Consider the following 17,684-nt stretch of genomic DNA (forward strand, 5'->3'; position numbering starts at 1 on the left):
CATCTGGGGAATAGGTGTAACAATGGACTCTAGGTGTTAAATCAAAGAAGATACACTGTAATATTGGATGAGGCTGCTCTTATTGAAATAGGTGCACATACCAGAATTTTTTTTTTAACTCTTGTTGCCCAGGTGGGAGTGCAATGGCACAATCTCAGCTCACTGCAACCTCTGCCTCCTGGGTTCAAGTGATTCTCCTGCCGCCACCTCCCGAGTAGCTGGGAATACAGGCGCACACCACAACACCCAGCTAATTCTGTATTTTTAGTAGAGATGAGGTTTTTCCCTGTTGGTCAGGCTGGTCTCGAACTCCTGACCTCAGGTGATCTGCCTGCCTCAGCCTCCCAAAGTGCTGGGATTACAGGCGTGAGCCACCATGCCTGGCCCAGAATTTTTTTTTAATATATTGGCTTGAATAGCTAGAAGGGACTCAAATAGTCTAGTTAGTCATTGGCTGAAACTTGAATTCAACACGGTCAGTGTTAATAAGATGGAGATGGCATACCTTCCTGGGCATACTGTAGAAGACAGACTTGCTTAGGGAGATAGGAATGTTGGAGAGGAACTGCCATGATCATCCACTACCATTCCATGTCCCAAGCAAGTCTGAAGAATTCTCCCTTCACCAAAACAATGAGAAACCTAAAGACTGTCTTCAATTCACATCCTCTGCTCTCATACAAGGATATTTTGGGGAGTGGCTAGGGTCTTTCGCCCAACCAAAGGTAACCTCATGAGAACCCCATGTTTCTAGAGACTATTTTGGAAAGCAATTGGAAGCCAAAACATTCACATATAGGTTTGAAATACCAAGGTATTTATGACTCAGGGGCGTGTGTGTGTGTTTTTCAGAGTTTCAATGTCCTGTTGTCACCCTCAGTGACCTATATCCACTAAAATTGCAAAAAGAATACTATATCTAAAAGCTATCTGGTTAAGATCTTAGAGTCATATGGCTCTTACTAGTGGCATGACCTGTGCAAGTTTCTAGAAACCTCGGTACTTCATTTTTCTCATCCACAAAATGAGAATCATAATAGTTAGCACCTATGGCTTTTGTGAGGACTAAGTAAGTTAATAAATAAAGTGCTTAGAACAGTCTTTGGCCCATGATGAAAACTCTGCATGCATTAGCTAGTATTATTGTTATCCAGGGTTATTATTGGGGTCCTGGTGAGCATTACACAAGTGTTATTTATCATTAATTACCCAGTTAAAACTTGCCACAGTAAAGATCAAAAGCACACAAGCCATAATTCACTAACACAGAGTGAAATACAAAAGAGTTTAATGCTAATTATGCTTATTCACAAATGCAGGCATTTGCAGAGACATTTTTCTTTAGTTGTTCTTCACCAACACTAGTGGCTTTGTGAATTATATCGTTTGTAAACTTACAAATCTCCAGGCACTGAGCTCCCTGCAGGAGACTAGGGAGGGGCTTCACTCCCTAGAGAGACTCTCAAAGAAGGAAACATAATTGGGTTTGCTTTCCATTTGTCAAAGTGTGCCTCAGACTAGGGTATCTCCAACTTCAATGTGTATATGAAACATCTGGGAATCTTGGTAAAAGGAAAATTCTGGGCCAAGCCTGGTAGCTCACGCCAGTAACCCAAGCACTTTGGGAGGCCAAGGTGGGAGACTGCTTGAGGCCAGGAGTTCTACACCAGCCTGGGCAACATAGCAAAACTTCATTGCTACAAATAATAAAAAATAAAAATTAGCCAGGCATGGTGACGACGCATGCCTGTAGTCCCAGCAACTCGGGAAGCTGAGGCAGGCGGATGGCTTGAGCCCAGGGGGCAAGGCTGCAGTGAGCTATGATGACACCACTGCATTCCAGCCTGGGCAACAGAGCGAGACCTTGTCTCTAAAAGATAGATAGATAGATAGATAGATAGATAGATAGATAGATAGATAGATAAAGATAGATAGATAGATAGAAGGAAAATTCTGATTCAGCAAGTCAGGGGTAGGGCCTGAGTTGGAGCATCTTAAACATGCTTCCAAGTGATGCTGACTCTGCCTGTCCCTGGACCACACATGGAGGAGAGAGGACACCAGGTCTCTGCACATGCAAGCACTTTGAGGGCCACCTGCATTCAGACAGGGGTGACTGAACCCCTAAGGACAGACTTTACTTCCTTCATCAGGTTTTCAAGGGAAAAACTCCTCATCATCTCACATGTATCTTCCACTCAGACCTTCTTGCTCCTGCAAATATCCACAAGCTCAATGACTTCTCTGTAGCCAAAGAGTTTTCTTTTAACCAAGGGTCCCCCCGCCCCCACCCAATTGTGTCAATGGACAGATTGCTGCACAATAACCTGATGTGATTGTTAAAGGATCAGGCTCATGGCCGGGCATGATGGCTCACACCTGTAATCCCAGCCCTTTGGGAGACCGAGGAGGGCCCCTGAGCTGCCAAGAACGCTTCCTGGTTCGACTGTTTCAGGAAAGCATTTGCAAAGCTAGCTGGATTCACTCCAGATGACCTAGTAGTGTGGTTGTGGAGAAACAGGAAAAGTTTTACACTGATGGTGGGACTGTAAACTAGTTCAACCATTGTGGAAGACAGTGTGGCGATTCCTCAAGGATCTAGAACCAGAAATACCATTTGACCCAGCAATCCCATTACTGGGTATATACCCAAAGGATTATAAATCATGCTGCTATAAAGACACATGCACACATATGTTTATTGTGGCACTATTCACAATAGCAAAGACCTGGAACCAACCCAAATGTCCATCAATGATAGACTGGATTAAGAACATGTGGCACACATACACCACGGAATACTATGCAGCCATAAAAAAGGATGAGTTCATATCCTTCGTAGGGACATGGATGAAGCTGGAAACCATCATTCTCAGCAAACTATCACAACGACAGAAAATCAAACACCGTATGTTCTCACTCATAGGTGGGAATTGAACAATGAGAACACCTGGACACAGGAAGGGGAATATCACACACCGGGGCCTGTCGTGGGGTGGGGGGAGAGGGGAGGGATAGCATTAGGAGATATACCTAATGTAAATGACGAATTAATAGGTGCAGCACACCAACATGGCACGTGTACACATACATAACAAACCTGCACGTTGTGCACATGTACCCTAGAACTTAAAGTGTAAAAAAAAGAACACTGAAAATGCAGAAATCAGTCAAATACATCCCTTAGGTCTTGAGGATATCAAGCCTTTATTCCCCAGTGAATGATGCAGGAAGCTCTGAGATCACCCAAACAGCTGCTGTGGGGACCACAGAGCTAAGGGGAACACACAGGGTGTAGCACAGCCCACAGTGACTTCAAGAAGCCATTCTTCTCAACCTGCTTCTATAATTCAGCTGTGGCTGGGTGTGGTGGCTCAAGCCTGTAATCCCAGCACTTTGGGAAGCGGAGGTGGGAGAATCACTTGAAGCCAGAAGTTCAAGACAGCCTGAGCAACAAAGTGAGACCCCCTATGTCTACCCAAAAAAAAAAAAAAAAATTAAACAGAATACAGCTTTGGAGACAATTTTTTGACTATTTTTTTTTCTTTTATATATATATTTTTTGAGACAGAGTCTCACTAGGACACCCAGGCTGGAGTGCAATGGCACAATCTCGGCTCACCGCAACCTCTGACTCCCAGGTTCAAGCAATTCTCCTGCCTCAACCTGCTGAGCAGCTGGGATTACAGGTGCCTGCCACCATGCCCAGCTAATTTTTGTATTTTTATTAGAGATGGGGTTTCACCATATTGGCCAGGCCGGTCTCAAACTCCTGACCTCAAGTGATCCACCCGCCTCGGCCTCACAAAGTGCTGGGATTACAGGCGTGAGCCACCACGCCCGGCCTTTAAGTGACTATTTTGTCAACGAATCCAAGGATGATACAGAACTAATACGATGCAGGGGATGGAAGTCGATTCCTGACATGCAAAGGACACCTTGGGAATTGGGCTTAAAGGTCTCAAGGAGCCTGGTGGAAAAGAGCTGCAGGCTTCCAGAATCAGGGCTGATGGAGGGATCCTGGCCCCCAAAAAAGGCATCCAGGAAAGGTGAATCTTGGTCCCCAACTGGTGCTTGGTAAAAGTCACTTTAGCTGCAGAGGCTGATGAAAGAGAAATGGAAGAGTGACCACAAGAGAACAAAGAACTGAGTTAAAGTTCCAAGAAATAACTTTTGCAGTGATGAGCCAAGGAGGAGACCCCAGGCACTGGGCAGAAGTTTGGGCTTTTTGTTTATTTAACTCTGAATAGTTCAGGCTGTGCCCAGTGGCTCACATCTGTAATCCCACCACTTAGCGAGGCTAAGGCTGGAGAATCCCTTGAGGCCAGGAACTTGAGACCAACCTGGGTAATAGAGTGAGACTTCATCTCTGCAAAGAATAATAAAAAAACTTAGCTGGGTGGGGTTGCACACACCTGTAGTCCCAGCCATTTGGGAGGCTGAGGTGGGAGGATAGCTTGAAACCAGGATTTTGAGGCTGCACTGATCAATGATTGCATACTACTGCACTCCAGCTTGGGTAACACAGTAAGACCCTGCCTCTATAAAAAATAAAATAAAATAAAATAACTCTGAGCAGTTCAGCCCATTTGGCGCGCACACACACACACACACACACACACACACACACACACAGCCAGTCCCACCACTGAGGGCAAACTGGCTCCAGGCCAGGTGAGCAATCCCAGACCCTCCTGCCTGCCTTCCATTCTGTCCCCTGGGAATGTCTGGATGGATCCGTGTCCAGGAAATCCAGGCGAGATCCCTAATCCAGGGAGATGACTGTTCCATGTGTAGCCGGCAAGGCACCCCCGCTCCCAGTGAGCCACCTAATGAAAACCTCATGTGTCAACTTGAGTTGCACAGACAAACCCAGGCGAATTCCAGCCGGGCCTCGTGCCGAAGGTATGACCTCACTGTCGGGCAAAGCGGCAGGGACCCCAGAGAAAGAAGACTGGTGTGTGGGCCAGACCTGCTTCTAATCACAGCCAGATGGGACGGATGGAGGCACCACTGCCATCCTGCCTGCCCAGATACTGGGGTGTACGGACCAGGAGGCATGGTCATCCTACAGCGAAGAATCCTAAGCTTTGCCCCAAACACTCCTTTTTTTTTTTTTTTTTTTTGGCATCATCCACATACTAGTTTGGTGTGATTACTTTTGCATCAACCTAATAAACATCACTGCCATTCCACATGTTCCACACCAAAGAGAAACTTAATTAGGTAGGCTCGAATCTCTGGAGGATTCCCAGTTACAGAAGCGAGGAAGGAAGGATATAATTAGAATCTTTTTTTTTTTTTTCTTAACAGAACAGCTCAAAAGGCCCCACTAAGGACAATTAAATGCAGTCATTCCATCCATAACCAGAACCTGGTACCTGAGAAGTTTACTCATTGGCAACGTGAAATTTGCAAAATACCTTCAAGACACGCACTTCAACCTCAGACTGGGCATTTTTCATTTAGCTCTTTTCACACTTAGGGACTGTATAAATTTTTGTGGCAGCAATACCCGTAGCCTACACTGATGCGTTATTTTCATGGATTTTGTACTAAATCTTTTGTAGGCAACAAAACAAAACTTCAAGGAAGCTGAGCTTCAAAAATAAATAAATGTGCTTTTACGTGATGGGTCACCGTGAAATAGTTGATGACTTGGGTTTTTGTTAAAGGAACAAATAGAAATTCGCTGCAAGATTTGCTCAGAAGTTCTGCTTTCAGCATTGGTAGCTGAGTATGATGAGTTGCAAATAAACTGGTGAAACTTGTAGTCTCTTAAACCGCATACCAGATGCCTGAGCCCTGATGAGCTCTTTGAACAATATCATCACATAAAGCCCCAAGGGACTCCAAGCTCTCATGAAATCAGGGAGGATTTGCAATAATCTAAAAATTTCCCCACAAGCTGGGGTCCAATGAGAGAATATACAAACAAGCATGAACTTGGGGCCGAAGACGCTTAAATCTTTTTTTTAATTTTTTTGAGTTTTTTTGTTTTTTTTTTAGAGATAAGGGTCTAGCTCTGTTACCCGGGCTGGAGTGCAGTGGTACAATCATAGCTTACTGCAGTCTTGAACTCCTAAGCTCCAGCAATCCTCCTCCATCAGTGTCAACAATCCTCCTGCCTCAGCCTCCCAAGTAGCTGGGATTACAGACGTGTACCACTATGCCCAGCTAATTTTTTCTGTTTTTGCAGAGATGGGTTCTCACTGTGTTGCCCAGACCGGTCTTAAATTCCTGGCCTTAAGCAGTCATCCTACCTTGGCCTCCCGAAGTGCTGGGATTACAAAATGTGGGCCACGGTACCCAGCAAGATCCTTAAATCTTATAGGAATAACTCTCCCACAATTATAAGAATAACTTCTGAGCCGGGCGCAGTGGCTCATGCCTGTAATCCCAGAACTTTGGGAGGCCGAGACAGGCAGATCACGAGGTCAGGAGATCAAGACCATCCTGGCTAACACAGTGAAACCCCATCTCTACTGAAAATACAAAGAAAACTAGCCGGGCGTGGTGGCGGGTGCCTGTAGTCCCAGCTACTTGGGAAGCTGAGGCAGGAGAATGGCGTGAACCTGGGAGGCGGAGCTTGCAGTGAGCCAAGATCGCGCCACTGCACTCCAGCCTGGGCAACAGAGCGAGACTCCGTCTCACAAAAAAAAAAAAAAAAAAAAGAATAACTTCTGGACATAACTAGGAATAACACTCTACAAGAAAAATGAGTCCAACCTATGTGTAAAGAAGTTGCTAATTGCTAATTCCATTCACATTTAGTCCATTTGACTAGGATTTTTGTTTGTTTTGTTTGTTTTTTGAGACGGAGTCTTGCTTTGTCACCCAGGCTGGAGTGCAGTGGCGTGATCTCAGCTTACTGCAACCTCTGCCTCCTGGGTTCAAGTGATTCTCGTGCCTTAGCCTCCCGAGTAGCTGAGATTACAGGCACATGGTACCATGCCTGGCTAATTGTTTTGTATTTTTAGTAGAGACAGGATTTCACTATGTTGGTGAGGCTGGTCTCAAACTCCTGACCTCAGATGATCCGCCTGCCTCGGCCTCCGATAACAGGTGCGATTGACTAGGTTTTATTACAAGAGTTGTGTGAGCAGAATCAAAGACCCAAAGCCTTCTTAGTTCCAGAAACAGACGTATAGATTAAGACTTTTCTTATTTCAAGGAGGAAACTTTTTTCCCTGCAAATGTATCTCTGAAATAATGATGGAAGTCACTGGAAGTGAGATCTTGCTGTAAAAGGTGTGCTTTGCTCCAGCTTTTCAGAAATATCTCTAAAATATAAAGCAACGTCAAATCAGGCCTACAAAGACATGGTGAGTCACCATCAATCAGAATTGGGAGAACAAGCTGAGAACCGCTCACACAACTGAATACCCTGGATAAAACATCTCTATCCTGAACCAGAAAATAAATGTCTACAGCTGCACTTGGCGGTTGGCCCTAGGGTCCATTCACCATATGGTCACCCTTATTATCATCCTCCCAACAAGTCCGGCAAGATAACAGGCTAAAACCACGCTCTTGCAACTGGCCTGCAGGCCAAGCAAACATCTCCTTATCATAACCTTGGTCTGTTCTTCCAAAGAGACTTCCTGCCCATCTCCTCTGTCCTTGCTTCTTGGTGTATATCTAATGCTCAACCTGGGCACGCCAAAAGCCCAGTCCTCTCGTGCCCGATGCCTAGAATTAAGCTGCTTTTCAGAGGGAAAGGGTATGTGTTAACAAAACAAAACAAAGAGGCCTCCTTCCTGGACCTTTATCTAAGGCAGGATCTAGCTGGTTTGGGATAAAACCTAGGGTTTTAGACTAGGGAAGAAACTTAAAGATTATCAAATGCAGTCATTTTTCAAAGCTTATTTTATTTTTAAGATGGAGTTTCACTCTTTGTCACCCAGGCTGGAGTACAATGGCACGATCTTGGCTCACCGCAACCTCCGCCTCCTGTGCCCAGTCCATTTTTCAAAGCTTTTTAAACATTACGAGGGCTGGGTGCAGTAGCTCATGCCTGTAATCCCAGCACTTTGGGAGGCTGAGGCAGGCGGATCACTTGAGCTCAGGAGTTCGAGACCAGCCTGGCCAACATGGTGAAACCCCATCTCTACTAAAAATACAAAAATTAGCCGGGCGTGGTGGCGCACGTCTGTAACCCCAGCTACTCAGGAGGCTGAGGCAGGAGAATAGCTTCAATCTGGGAGATGGAGGTTGCAGTGAGCCAAGATCATGCCACTGCACTGCAGCCTGGGCGTAAGACAGAGTGAGACTCTGTCGCAAATTTTAAAAACACTACAAAGTTGTATTTTTTCCAGTGAGGTTGTATGCAGAAACTCAGTAAATAGAAAATAGACATAAAACAAGCTGTTATGTCCATACAGTGGAATAGGAATATGGCCATCAAAAGAAATGAAGTCATGATAAATGCTACAACACAGGTGAACCTTGGAAACACTATAGTAAGTGCAAGAAGCTACTCACAAAGGAAGGCAAATTATATGATTCCATTAGTAGAAAATGTCCAGCAGAAGCAACTATAGAGACAGAAAATAGAGAAGTGCTTGTGTAGGGCTTGGGGAAATATGGGGATTGAGAGGTGATGGCTAAGAGGTACAAGGTTTTGTCTGGGTGTGGTGGCTCACATCTGTAATTCCAGCACTTTGGGAGGCCAAGGCAGGCGGATCACAAGGTCAAGAGATCGAGACCATCCTGCCCACCATGGTGAAACCCTGTCTGTACTAAAAATATGAAAATTAGCTGGGCATGGTGGTGGGCACCTGTAGGCCCAGCTACTTGGGAGGCTGAGGCAGGAGAATTGCTTAAACCCGGGAAGCGGAGGTTGCAGTGAGCAGAGATTGTGCCACTGCACTCCAGCCTGGTGACAGAGCGAGACTCCGTCAAAAAAAAAAAAAAAAAAAAAAAAAAAAGGAAGTGCAAGGTTTCTTTTTGGAGCAATGAAAATGTTCTAAAATCGACTGTGGTATGCGTTGCACAAATCTCTGAATCTAGCCTGGCCTGGCTGACCTGGCAGAACCCCTACATACTCCTCTCCTGGATATGCCCACCAATCACCTGGATATTGAGACCATCGATATCCTGGAAGACACCATCAATGAGTTTGAGGGTGGTATGAAGCTAGTCAGCTATGACTCTGGACTCATTCAGCAAGTGAGGTCCTGGCCAGGTGTGAGGTACAGCAGAGAGTGTCTAGGTGGTTGGGTGGAGCAGTCATGGCATATGAAGGGGCGTAGTACTTGCTTACTGAATTAAGAAAAGAGGCTCAGAGTGTAGACACAGGTGGCAAGGACCAGATCTTACGGCTCTACTTATGGGGCTACTTTGAAAGTGTTAAATGAAACACTTCATTTCTTCAGTAGCTACTTGGAGATGTTAACCAACTTGGGATTGTTGAGCCAAATGGGGCAGAGAGTTGGGTAGAAAACAGGGTGCTTTTGCTACTGGTCCCAGGATTCTTCAATCCAAAAACAGGATTCTACTAAGAAGGGCGTGGACTAGACAGGGGACTGCCACTGTCACTGGAGAATAAGCTGCAGGTCATTTCTCTGAAGCTTTGGAGAAGATGGAAATGGAGGGGGGGGGAAGGAGGCTGAGAGTGAAGCCTCTGAACAGATCTGGACAATGGGAACGTCCAGACAGAAGGAAGTGACAATGGGAATGACACAGTAGCTCCAGCTTAGAAGGCTCCAAAGCTTGCGGGTTATCGTGTCCTTGGGATAGACCATCCCAAAAAACTTAGAGGTAGTGAGGCAGTGTGCAGGATATGGGCTTGTGGGGTAGGGCAGGAAGATAATGCCATTTTCTTCCTTAGAATCCCCTTCCATCAGTCTGCTGGGCAAGAATGGGGACAGTGACTGGGCCAGGATTAAGTCTAGGATTTGTTTTCCAGGTTGCCTAGGAAATGTGTGTCTGTGGGAAGCAGAGAATCAATGAATGGCCTGGAGACACCCTGGCCCACAGGGAACACCTCAAGTCCAAGCTGGTAGATGAGAATCCCCAGCTCACCAGAAGAACATACAACACATGAGCCCTCTGGTCTTGGGTTAGGACCTCCGTCTGGAGACCAACAACTGCTACCCATTGACCAGTCTCTCAGACAACGTAGAAAAGTGGTTGCCTAGGGCTTGCAGGGACAGGGGGATTGGGAGGTGATGGCTAAGAGATGTGGAATTCCTTTTTGGAGTGATGAAGGTGTTCTTTTATTTTCCTTCAACTTTTATTTTAAGTTCTGGGGTCCATGTGCAGGATGTGCAGGTTTGTTAGATAGGTAAACATGTGCCATGGTGGTTTGCTGCACAGATCAACCCATCACCTTGGTATTAAGCCCAGCACCCATTAGCTATTCTTCCCAATGCTCTCCCTCCCCACCCCCAACAGGCCCCAGTGTGTTGTTCCCCACTATGTGTTTATGTGTTCTCATCATTTAACTCCCACTTATAAGTGAGAAAAAGCACAGGTATCTTGGAACCCAAAATAATACACAATTTAGGCCGGGCGCGCTGGCTCACACCCGTAATCCCAGCACTTTGGGAGGCCGAGGTGGGCAGATCACGAGATCAGGAGATTGAGACCATCCTGGCCAACATGGCGAAACTCCGTCTCTACTAAAAACACAAAAATTAGTCAGTTGTGGTGGTGCATGCCTCTAGTCCCAGCTACTCTGAAAGGCTAAGGCAAGAGAATCACTTGAACCGGGAGGCGGAGGCTGCAGTGAGTTGAGATCGCATCACTGTACTCCAGCCTGGGCGACAGAGAGAGACTCCGTCTCTAAAATAAATAATAAATAAAATACAATTAAAAAAATTAAATGAAAATAAGATAAAAATGTTAAAATAGACCTGTCATGAAAAAAAAAAAAGGTGAGAACATGTGGTGCTTGGCGTTCTGCTCCTGTGTTAGTTTGCCGAGGATAGTGGCTTCCAACTAAAATCCATTGTGGCGCTGGTTTTACAAATCTGTGACTCTCGTCTGGCTACACTGGGGCTACACCCCGGCACTGCTGCAGCACTGCTCCCCTGGCTCCTCCCCTGCCCCCGCACCTGCCTTAGCTGCACTCTTAACTACAGCGGGACAGTTACCTGTTTCATGTCCTCCTTCCACTTATATTTGTCCATGTCTGGACTTGACTGGCTGTTCCCTGCAGCCTCTTGCTGGTGAACTTTTCCTGAGTGTGATGTAGCCAGAGACACTGAGGGTTAGCCCAGGAGCCCAAGGCCAGGCTCTAGCCCATGGAGGAGCTTAGGATTCTTGTTTGAGGGGTTTTGGTGATGTTGGAGGAACATTCCCCAACTCACTGCCCCCATTCCTTTTTGCTTCTAGTCTGGAGCTCTGGACCAAGACCCTGGTCTTGGTCAATTTTTAAATAATTTCTCAACAATGTAACTTGTAGATCTGTGTGACATCTACAAAGCATCCAATAAAGAAAGAGGAAACAAACAAACAAAACCCTGCACATCCACTAAGCACCACTGAATTGTGCACTTTAAATGTGTGAATTTTAGAGTATGTGAATTCTATCTCAACAAAGCTGTTATTTAGAAGAGGAGGAGGAGGAAGAGGGGCAGGGAGAAGAGGAAGAAGAAGGAGGAGGAGGAGGAGGGGGGAGGGAGGGAGGGAGGAGGAGGAGGGGGAGGGAGAGGGGGATAGGGATGGGGATGAGGGAGGGGGAAGAGGGGGATGGGGAGGTGGGAGGGGACAAGAAGGGAAAAAACAAGATGCTGTAACTGTTCCACCAGCCAGGCCTCTTTCCTCACCCCATCCTATAGTGGCCCTGAAACCATCTCTACAGGCCCCTAGAACTCTATGGAAAGTTACTGAAAAAGCCTGTTCTAGTCCAAGTTTCTGCTTCTCAAATGTAAACCAAGTCTCTGGATTTAAAAGTGCAAGGCCCTGCATAAACCGAAGGTCTCACTGATGAGACCGGGGCATGTCTCAGGGGAGAAGCTGCTTGTCCGGGTCTTACCGTCCATGTCCAAGCGCTGCATGATGATGGCCAGCTCCACCTCGCTTGGCATGTACCCCAAAGAGCGCATGGCCATGCCCAGCTCCTGCTTGGAGATGAAGCCGTTCCCATCCCGGTCCAGAACCCGAAAGGCCTCTCGGATTTCTACAATGGAAAAGCAAAGAAAGTCCAGTGGTCACATGGCTGGCTTTATTGCACTGCAGTTATTGGTGATTGCCTACTGAGAACTCCTAACTGCTTTAAAAACAGTGATTTGTTAAAACTCTTTAATCAGATAAAAGGGAGGACAGAAGAAGAACAGAAGAAAAGAAACGAAGAAAAGAAAAAGGAAAGAGAAAAAAGGAAATGGAAGGGAGAGGAGGAGAAGGGAAAATGAGAGAGGAAGAAAAAGAAAAGGAAAGGGAGAAAGGGAGAGAGAAAAAGAGGAAGGTGGAAGGGAGAGTGGAAGAGAGGAATGAAGGGAGGAAAAAAGAGAAAGAAGAAAGGAAGGGAGGGAGGGGGAAAAGGGAAGGAGGGAGGGAGAAAGGAAGGAAGAAAGCAAGGGAGGGAGGAAGGGAGGGAGGGAGGAAGGGAGGGAGGGAGGAAGGGAGGGAGGAAGGAAGGGAGGGAGGAAGGAAGGGAGGGAGGAAGGAAGGGAGGGAGGAAGGAAGGGAGGGAGGAAGGAAGGGAGGGAGGAAGGAAGGGAGGGAGGGGAGGAGGAGGGAAGGAAGGAGGAAGGAAGGAAGGAAAAAAGGAAAGAAGAAAGAAAAAGGAAGGAAGGAGGGAAGAAAGGAACGCAGGCAGACAAGGAAAAAAAGAAAAAGAAATGAAGAAAGGGAGAAAGAGAGAAAGAAAGAAAGGAAAGAAAGAAAAATAGAAAGAAAGAAAGAGAAAAAAAGAAAAAGAAAGAAAGAAGGAGGAAGGGAGGGAGGAGGCAGCTCGACCTGAGCATCCTCCAACTCTGGAGGAGGCACACAATTAGATGGTGGTCCCAGCAGAGAATCATGTTAACCAAGGACACTTTCTGAGCAAAGATGAGGATTTGGTTTCAGCTGTGAGGAGAAAGCTGCCTCTTAACTGCAGTCCTCAGGAGGAAAGGAGAATGCAGCTCCCCTCTGCAGGCATATTTCAGATCCCTGCTGCTGTAGGAGCTGTGCAGAAAGCTCTTCCAGCCTCATAGGAGGAGAAGAGTTAAGTATCCGGCTGTTTTTGACTCATTCTCCTAATTTACAGGTGTTTTGTAGATATAAACAACCTCAGATCAATAAGAGCATCGTGAAAACTCAAAAGATGCCTTTAATCACTTTGCCCCTGGGCTAGCAGAGAACTTGACTCTGCGGTCAGCAAGGGCTGTTTCACTTGGCAGGCAATCTCTCCTCTTCCCCTAAACCAGAGTTGCTCTAAATTCCACCCAGAGTCCCCTTCTCCAGAGCCACTGCAGCTGTCAGTCCTGGATTGGATGTATAACACAAGGAATTGGAGGTCACAGTGTGAAGATGAAAGGTTCGTTAATTGTTTCTGAGCACACCAGACCTAGAGCAGCTTTGACTTTTCATCAATAAACCCAGTGCAAGCCCAGATATGTCAGCTGCCATTATTCACCATGCCACGCTAGTTGATAGAAAGTCAACTAGTATTGACTTTCTATTCCGTGAGAAGCACAGTATTAATAAATACGGAAAAATAAAAATGATCCACCAGGCATTGGGGTTCTCCCACTCAGCTCGACTCCACTCAGGATGGTAAGATGCATGCAGAAACCTTCTATCACTCTTCAAACGCATACAAGCCCCTCGGTTCTGACTCATTTACTTACTACCGCACTGAATATCTGACCATGCCCTGGCATGATCATTACCACAAACTTGGTGATTTAAGACAATAGAAATCTATTCTCTCACAGTCTGGAGGCCAAAATTCCAAAATCAGCATCATTAGATCACAATCATGATGTCAGCAGAGCTGTGCTCCCCGTGAAGGCTCTAAGGGAAAATCCATTTGTCTCTTCCAGCTGCCAGAGGCTGCCAGCATTCCTTGGCTTGCAGCCCCATCACTCCAATCTCCATCTTCTCCTCTTCTGTCTGTAATTCTCCCTCTGTCCTGCTCTTAAAGGACACTTCTGTTTGCATTAGGGACCACTCAGATAATCCAAGATAATCTCCCCATCTCAAGATTCTTAACTTCATCACATCTTCAAAGACTTTTCTGTAAGATAGCATTTATAAATCTCAGAGATTAGGATTTGATATCTTTGGGGGCTGGTTTTGAGATTGCTACACTATTGCATCCAGTGCTTCTGCCTAAAATATCTTCCCTTCTTCTTTTCCCTGCCCAAAATTATATCCATCCTTCAAGGTCAAGTGTGGATGCTAAAGTGACTCCATCTTGGATGCTAATCTGCCATGTTGACTTCTGACAAACTCTAATTCTGGGAATGCCTCCCAAATTTCTATGTTATCTACTGTTCCTTGTGTAAGACCTTGTTCTTACCATACACCCTGCCCTTAGGCAGACTCCTGCCTTTCCCTACAATCGTCTATACATTCCTTCCCTATGATATATAAGTCCTGGGTCTGGTAGGTGATGGCTGGGGGCATCCACCATCTTGTCTCACCATGCCGCAAGACACAGACATAGCCCAAGTCCCTATTAAATGTTTCTTTCTGACAAGCTAGATATATCAGCCTCTTTTTTCAGCCTCTCAGCTTCCTTGGACTTTGGGAGTAAGTTTGCATGGACTTGCCCATTGCAAAACACCAAACCAGGGGTCATGGATTCCGCAAAACTGTCTTTGCTCACCATAGCCAAGTTATCTCCCTTTCTGCTGACTGTTCACAGCAGGTCATTCATTCCTTTCTTGTGACATCCAGCATACTCCATCTAGAAATACTACCATTGGCTTCTTTTCTGAGCGGTAAGCACCTCCTACCCTTCTTTCATCTTAGTGTGTTCCCCGCCCACATTGTAGGAGGCGCTAGACAGATAGCTGTTCAAGGGATGATGAGTCTGAATGGGTAAGGATCATATATTAGTAGTAAATTCATTATCAATACTAATCCAGCATGCTGAATTCTTTCTGGGAAGAATTGTGGGCCCCAGCAGAGAGAAGACCACCCTGTGCACCAGGACCCTAGGCTCCCAGCCAGGCGTATTAGCTAATTAGGTCCACGGCCAAACCCTGGAGGCCTCAGTTTGTTCATGCGTAAAATGAGCTGTGCTGGCTGCATGGATCCCTCAGGTCCTCCAGCCCTTCTTTCTGTGCATCCGTGGACATCGTTGAAGTGTTTAAGTGAAGAACAGGAAGCCTGTGTTCTCTTACACACCCTATTAATCTGCTGTTCAACACCTCCTCCCCTTTCTTTCCATCAATGGTATAGAAACAAATTTTAGTCCAACCCAAATTCTGAATCAAGGCGTTTGTCTGCATTTTGAGCTTTTCCCATCAATGAAATATGCCCAAGGTTACCTAAAACAGCCATATGTTTTCCTACCAAGTCCCGACTGGCCTGGAAGGAGCGTGGAGCCACTACTCAGCTTGAGGTCATGGCACACTGTGCTCAAGGACACTGTGGTGGAGGACATGGCCTCATGTGGCCTGAGCTCAGATCCCCAATTGCCAAGGATGGGAGGACGCAGAGGCCAGGCCTCCCGACGTGAGAGTCAGCCCATGAGGCAGCCAGCGCCAAGCGCCAGCTCTGCTCTGCAAGCTGGTGCAGCCTTCCCCCTCAGCCTCAATTTCCCCATCTGAAAAAATGGGTTAGGTGTGATGTCCTTCCAGCCTCTATAGCAGGGTTTTACACTGGGGCCAGGACATACGATGCAACAGTAGGAAGTGTCAGAGGATGACAAGGTCTGCGGCTGCAGTTACTGGATAGCCAGTTGTAAGCTAAGTCTTGCTCTTAGTTCTCCGGAAGGCTCCTTCCCAAGGCATCATCTCCACTTCCCATTCCTTCTGACTCAATCCTGAACTCTCTGGGTTACTGATATGGCTGGACAGGGTGGGTCCCTTCCATTGACAGACCTTTGTTCCTGTGGTCTTCCTGTATGCCCTAGACCTTACAGGTAAGCATCAACCTACATCCTTACATTGGGCGACACCCCAGCGGGCCCTAGCTGGGGGTGTTTGAGAACATGGCCTGGAAATGAGGACCCGGACAGCTGAGCCTTTGGACCTCCGAGTTGCCCCACCTTTGGGGCTACTGGATTTAGCAAGTCAGACCATAGATGGAGGTCACTCCAGAACTTCCCTCCTCTAAAGGGACCTGCTCCTTCGAAGCCTTGAATGCCTGTGGCTTACTCTGTAGTCTGTAGCAAGGCTGGCCTCCTCCAACCAAGCCCAGGACAGCGCAGGCCACACATCAGCTCAGGGTTCTATTTTCTGTGGCATGCAGGTAAGTAGGACAAAGCTGTCCTTCTTTATTCTCTATTTGCATAGGGAGCTCCTGGCTCCCACGTAGAGAATTCGTGTGTGTGTCTATGTGAGTGTGTGTGTCTGTCTGTCTGCAGAAGCAGACAAACCTCACTAACTTTTTTTTTTTTTTTCAAAATAGCAGAAACAGGAAAAAAAATACAAAACTAGAAATCCATAATAGGCACCTCGGGAGAGTTAATGTTTCTAGGGTAAGGAAAGCCCAGGCAAACCGAGGCTTATTAGAAGGAAATGGGTCTTGCAGTCTGGGAAAGACATGTGATGTGTGCCTCATTTTATTTTTAATAGCAAAACAGGGTGTGAAAAATATGCCCGTAAAACCCACGGAGACATTGGAACAGGCAGGATCCCTCTGGCTCTAGGAGGACGGCTCCCAGCATTGAGTGGGCTTTGGCCACTTTCCCATCCTTGGGAACTAGGGACCACAGATCAAGTTTTCAAGAACAGGCAGTAATGTTGTGTGCTTTTCACCGAAACGTACTCCTTCTTTGGCCTAAAGTCTCTGGTGCGCCAGGGCTACGTGAGCACGCTGTATCTTTGGTCTTTAATTAAACTTTACTCCTCCATCTCATGCAACACGTGCACGTTAGACACTAGTATGCCAATTTTAACCACCTCCAAGATGTCTTTGTGGGCCACAGAAATGCTCTCTGCAATGGTGATAGGAACCTGTCCAACTGTCATTGTGTGGAGTATGAAAAGACACGTGGCAACACGCATCGTCTGAAAGGACTCCAGTCTCTGCAAGCATATGGAGTCGCCCAGAATCAAAGTTGGCGTTCCCACAGGGATCTGAGCCCCTCCTCCCTAAAGGGAAGCAGAGAGTCTTGAGCCAAGCAAGGACTTGGAAAGAAATAATCCTGTTATTCAGCCCAAGAGATTTACTTCTCATTATGCTGGTAACTTATTTTTTTTTTCTGAGATAGTCTTGCTCTGTTGCCCAGGCTGAAGTGCAGTGGCACCATGATAGCTCACTGCAGCCTTGAGCTCCTGGGCTCAAGAGATCCTCCTGCCTTGGCCTCTTGAGTACACACCACCATGCTCGACTAATTTTTTATTTTTCATTTTTTGTAGAAACAGGGTCTCGCCATGTTGCCCAGGCTGGTCTCAAACACCCAGCCTCAAGCAGTCCTTCTGCCTCAGCCTCCCAAAGTGCTGGGATTACAGGCATGAGCTGGTAACTCTTTTTTCTTTCTTTTTTTTTTTGTTGGAGATGGCGTCTCGCTCTGTCACCCAGGCTGGAGTGCAGTGGCATGAGCTCAGCTCACTGCAACCTCCGCCTCCCTGGTTCAA

General features: G+C 46.6%; 1 protein-coding gene and 1 pseudogene across 15 annotated transcripts in view; one reads left to right on the top strand and one right to left on the bottom strand.

Annotated features, from left to right (window-relative positions):
• Positions 1–17,684, bottom strand: part of CALN1 (calneuron 1) — a 724,789-nt gene that overhangs the window by 314,677 nt on the left and 392,428 nt on the right. For all 15 annotated transcript variants that reach the window (XM_017012677.2, NM_001363460.1, XM_017012683.2 and 12 more), the window contains one exon: positions 11,984–12,127. In XM_017012677.2, coding sequence (XP_016868166.1) covers positions 11,984–12,127 — 144 coding nt within the window. The remainder of the gene's footprint in view (positions 1–11,983; positions 12,128–17,684) is intronic.
• Positions 9,005–10,042, top strand: ABCF2P2 (ATP binding cassette subfamily F member 2 pseudogene 2; annotated as a pseudogene).

The sequence above is a fragment of the Homo sapiens genome, chromosome 7 (genome assembly GCF_000001405.40).
Source record: "Homo sapiens chromosome 7, GRCh38.p14 Primary Assembly".
NCBI lineage: Eukaryota > Metazoa > Chordata > Mammalia > Primates > Hominidae > Homo > Homo sapiens.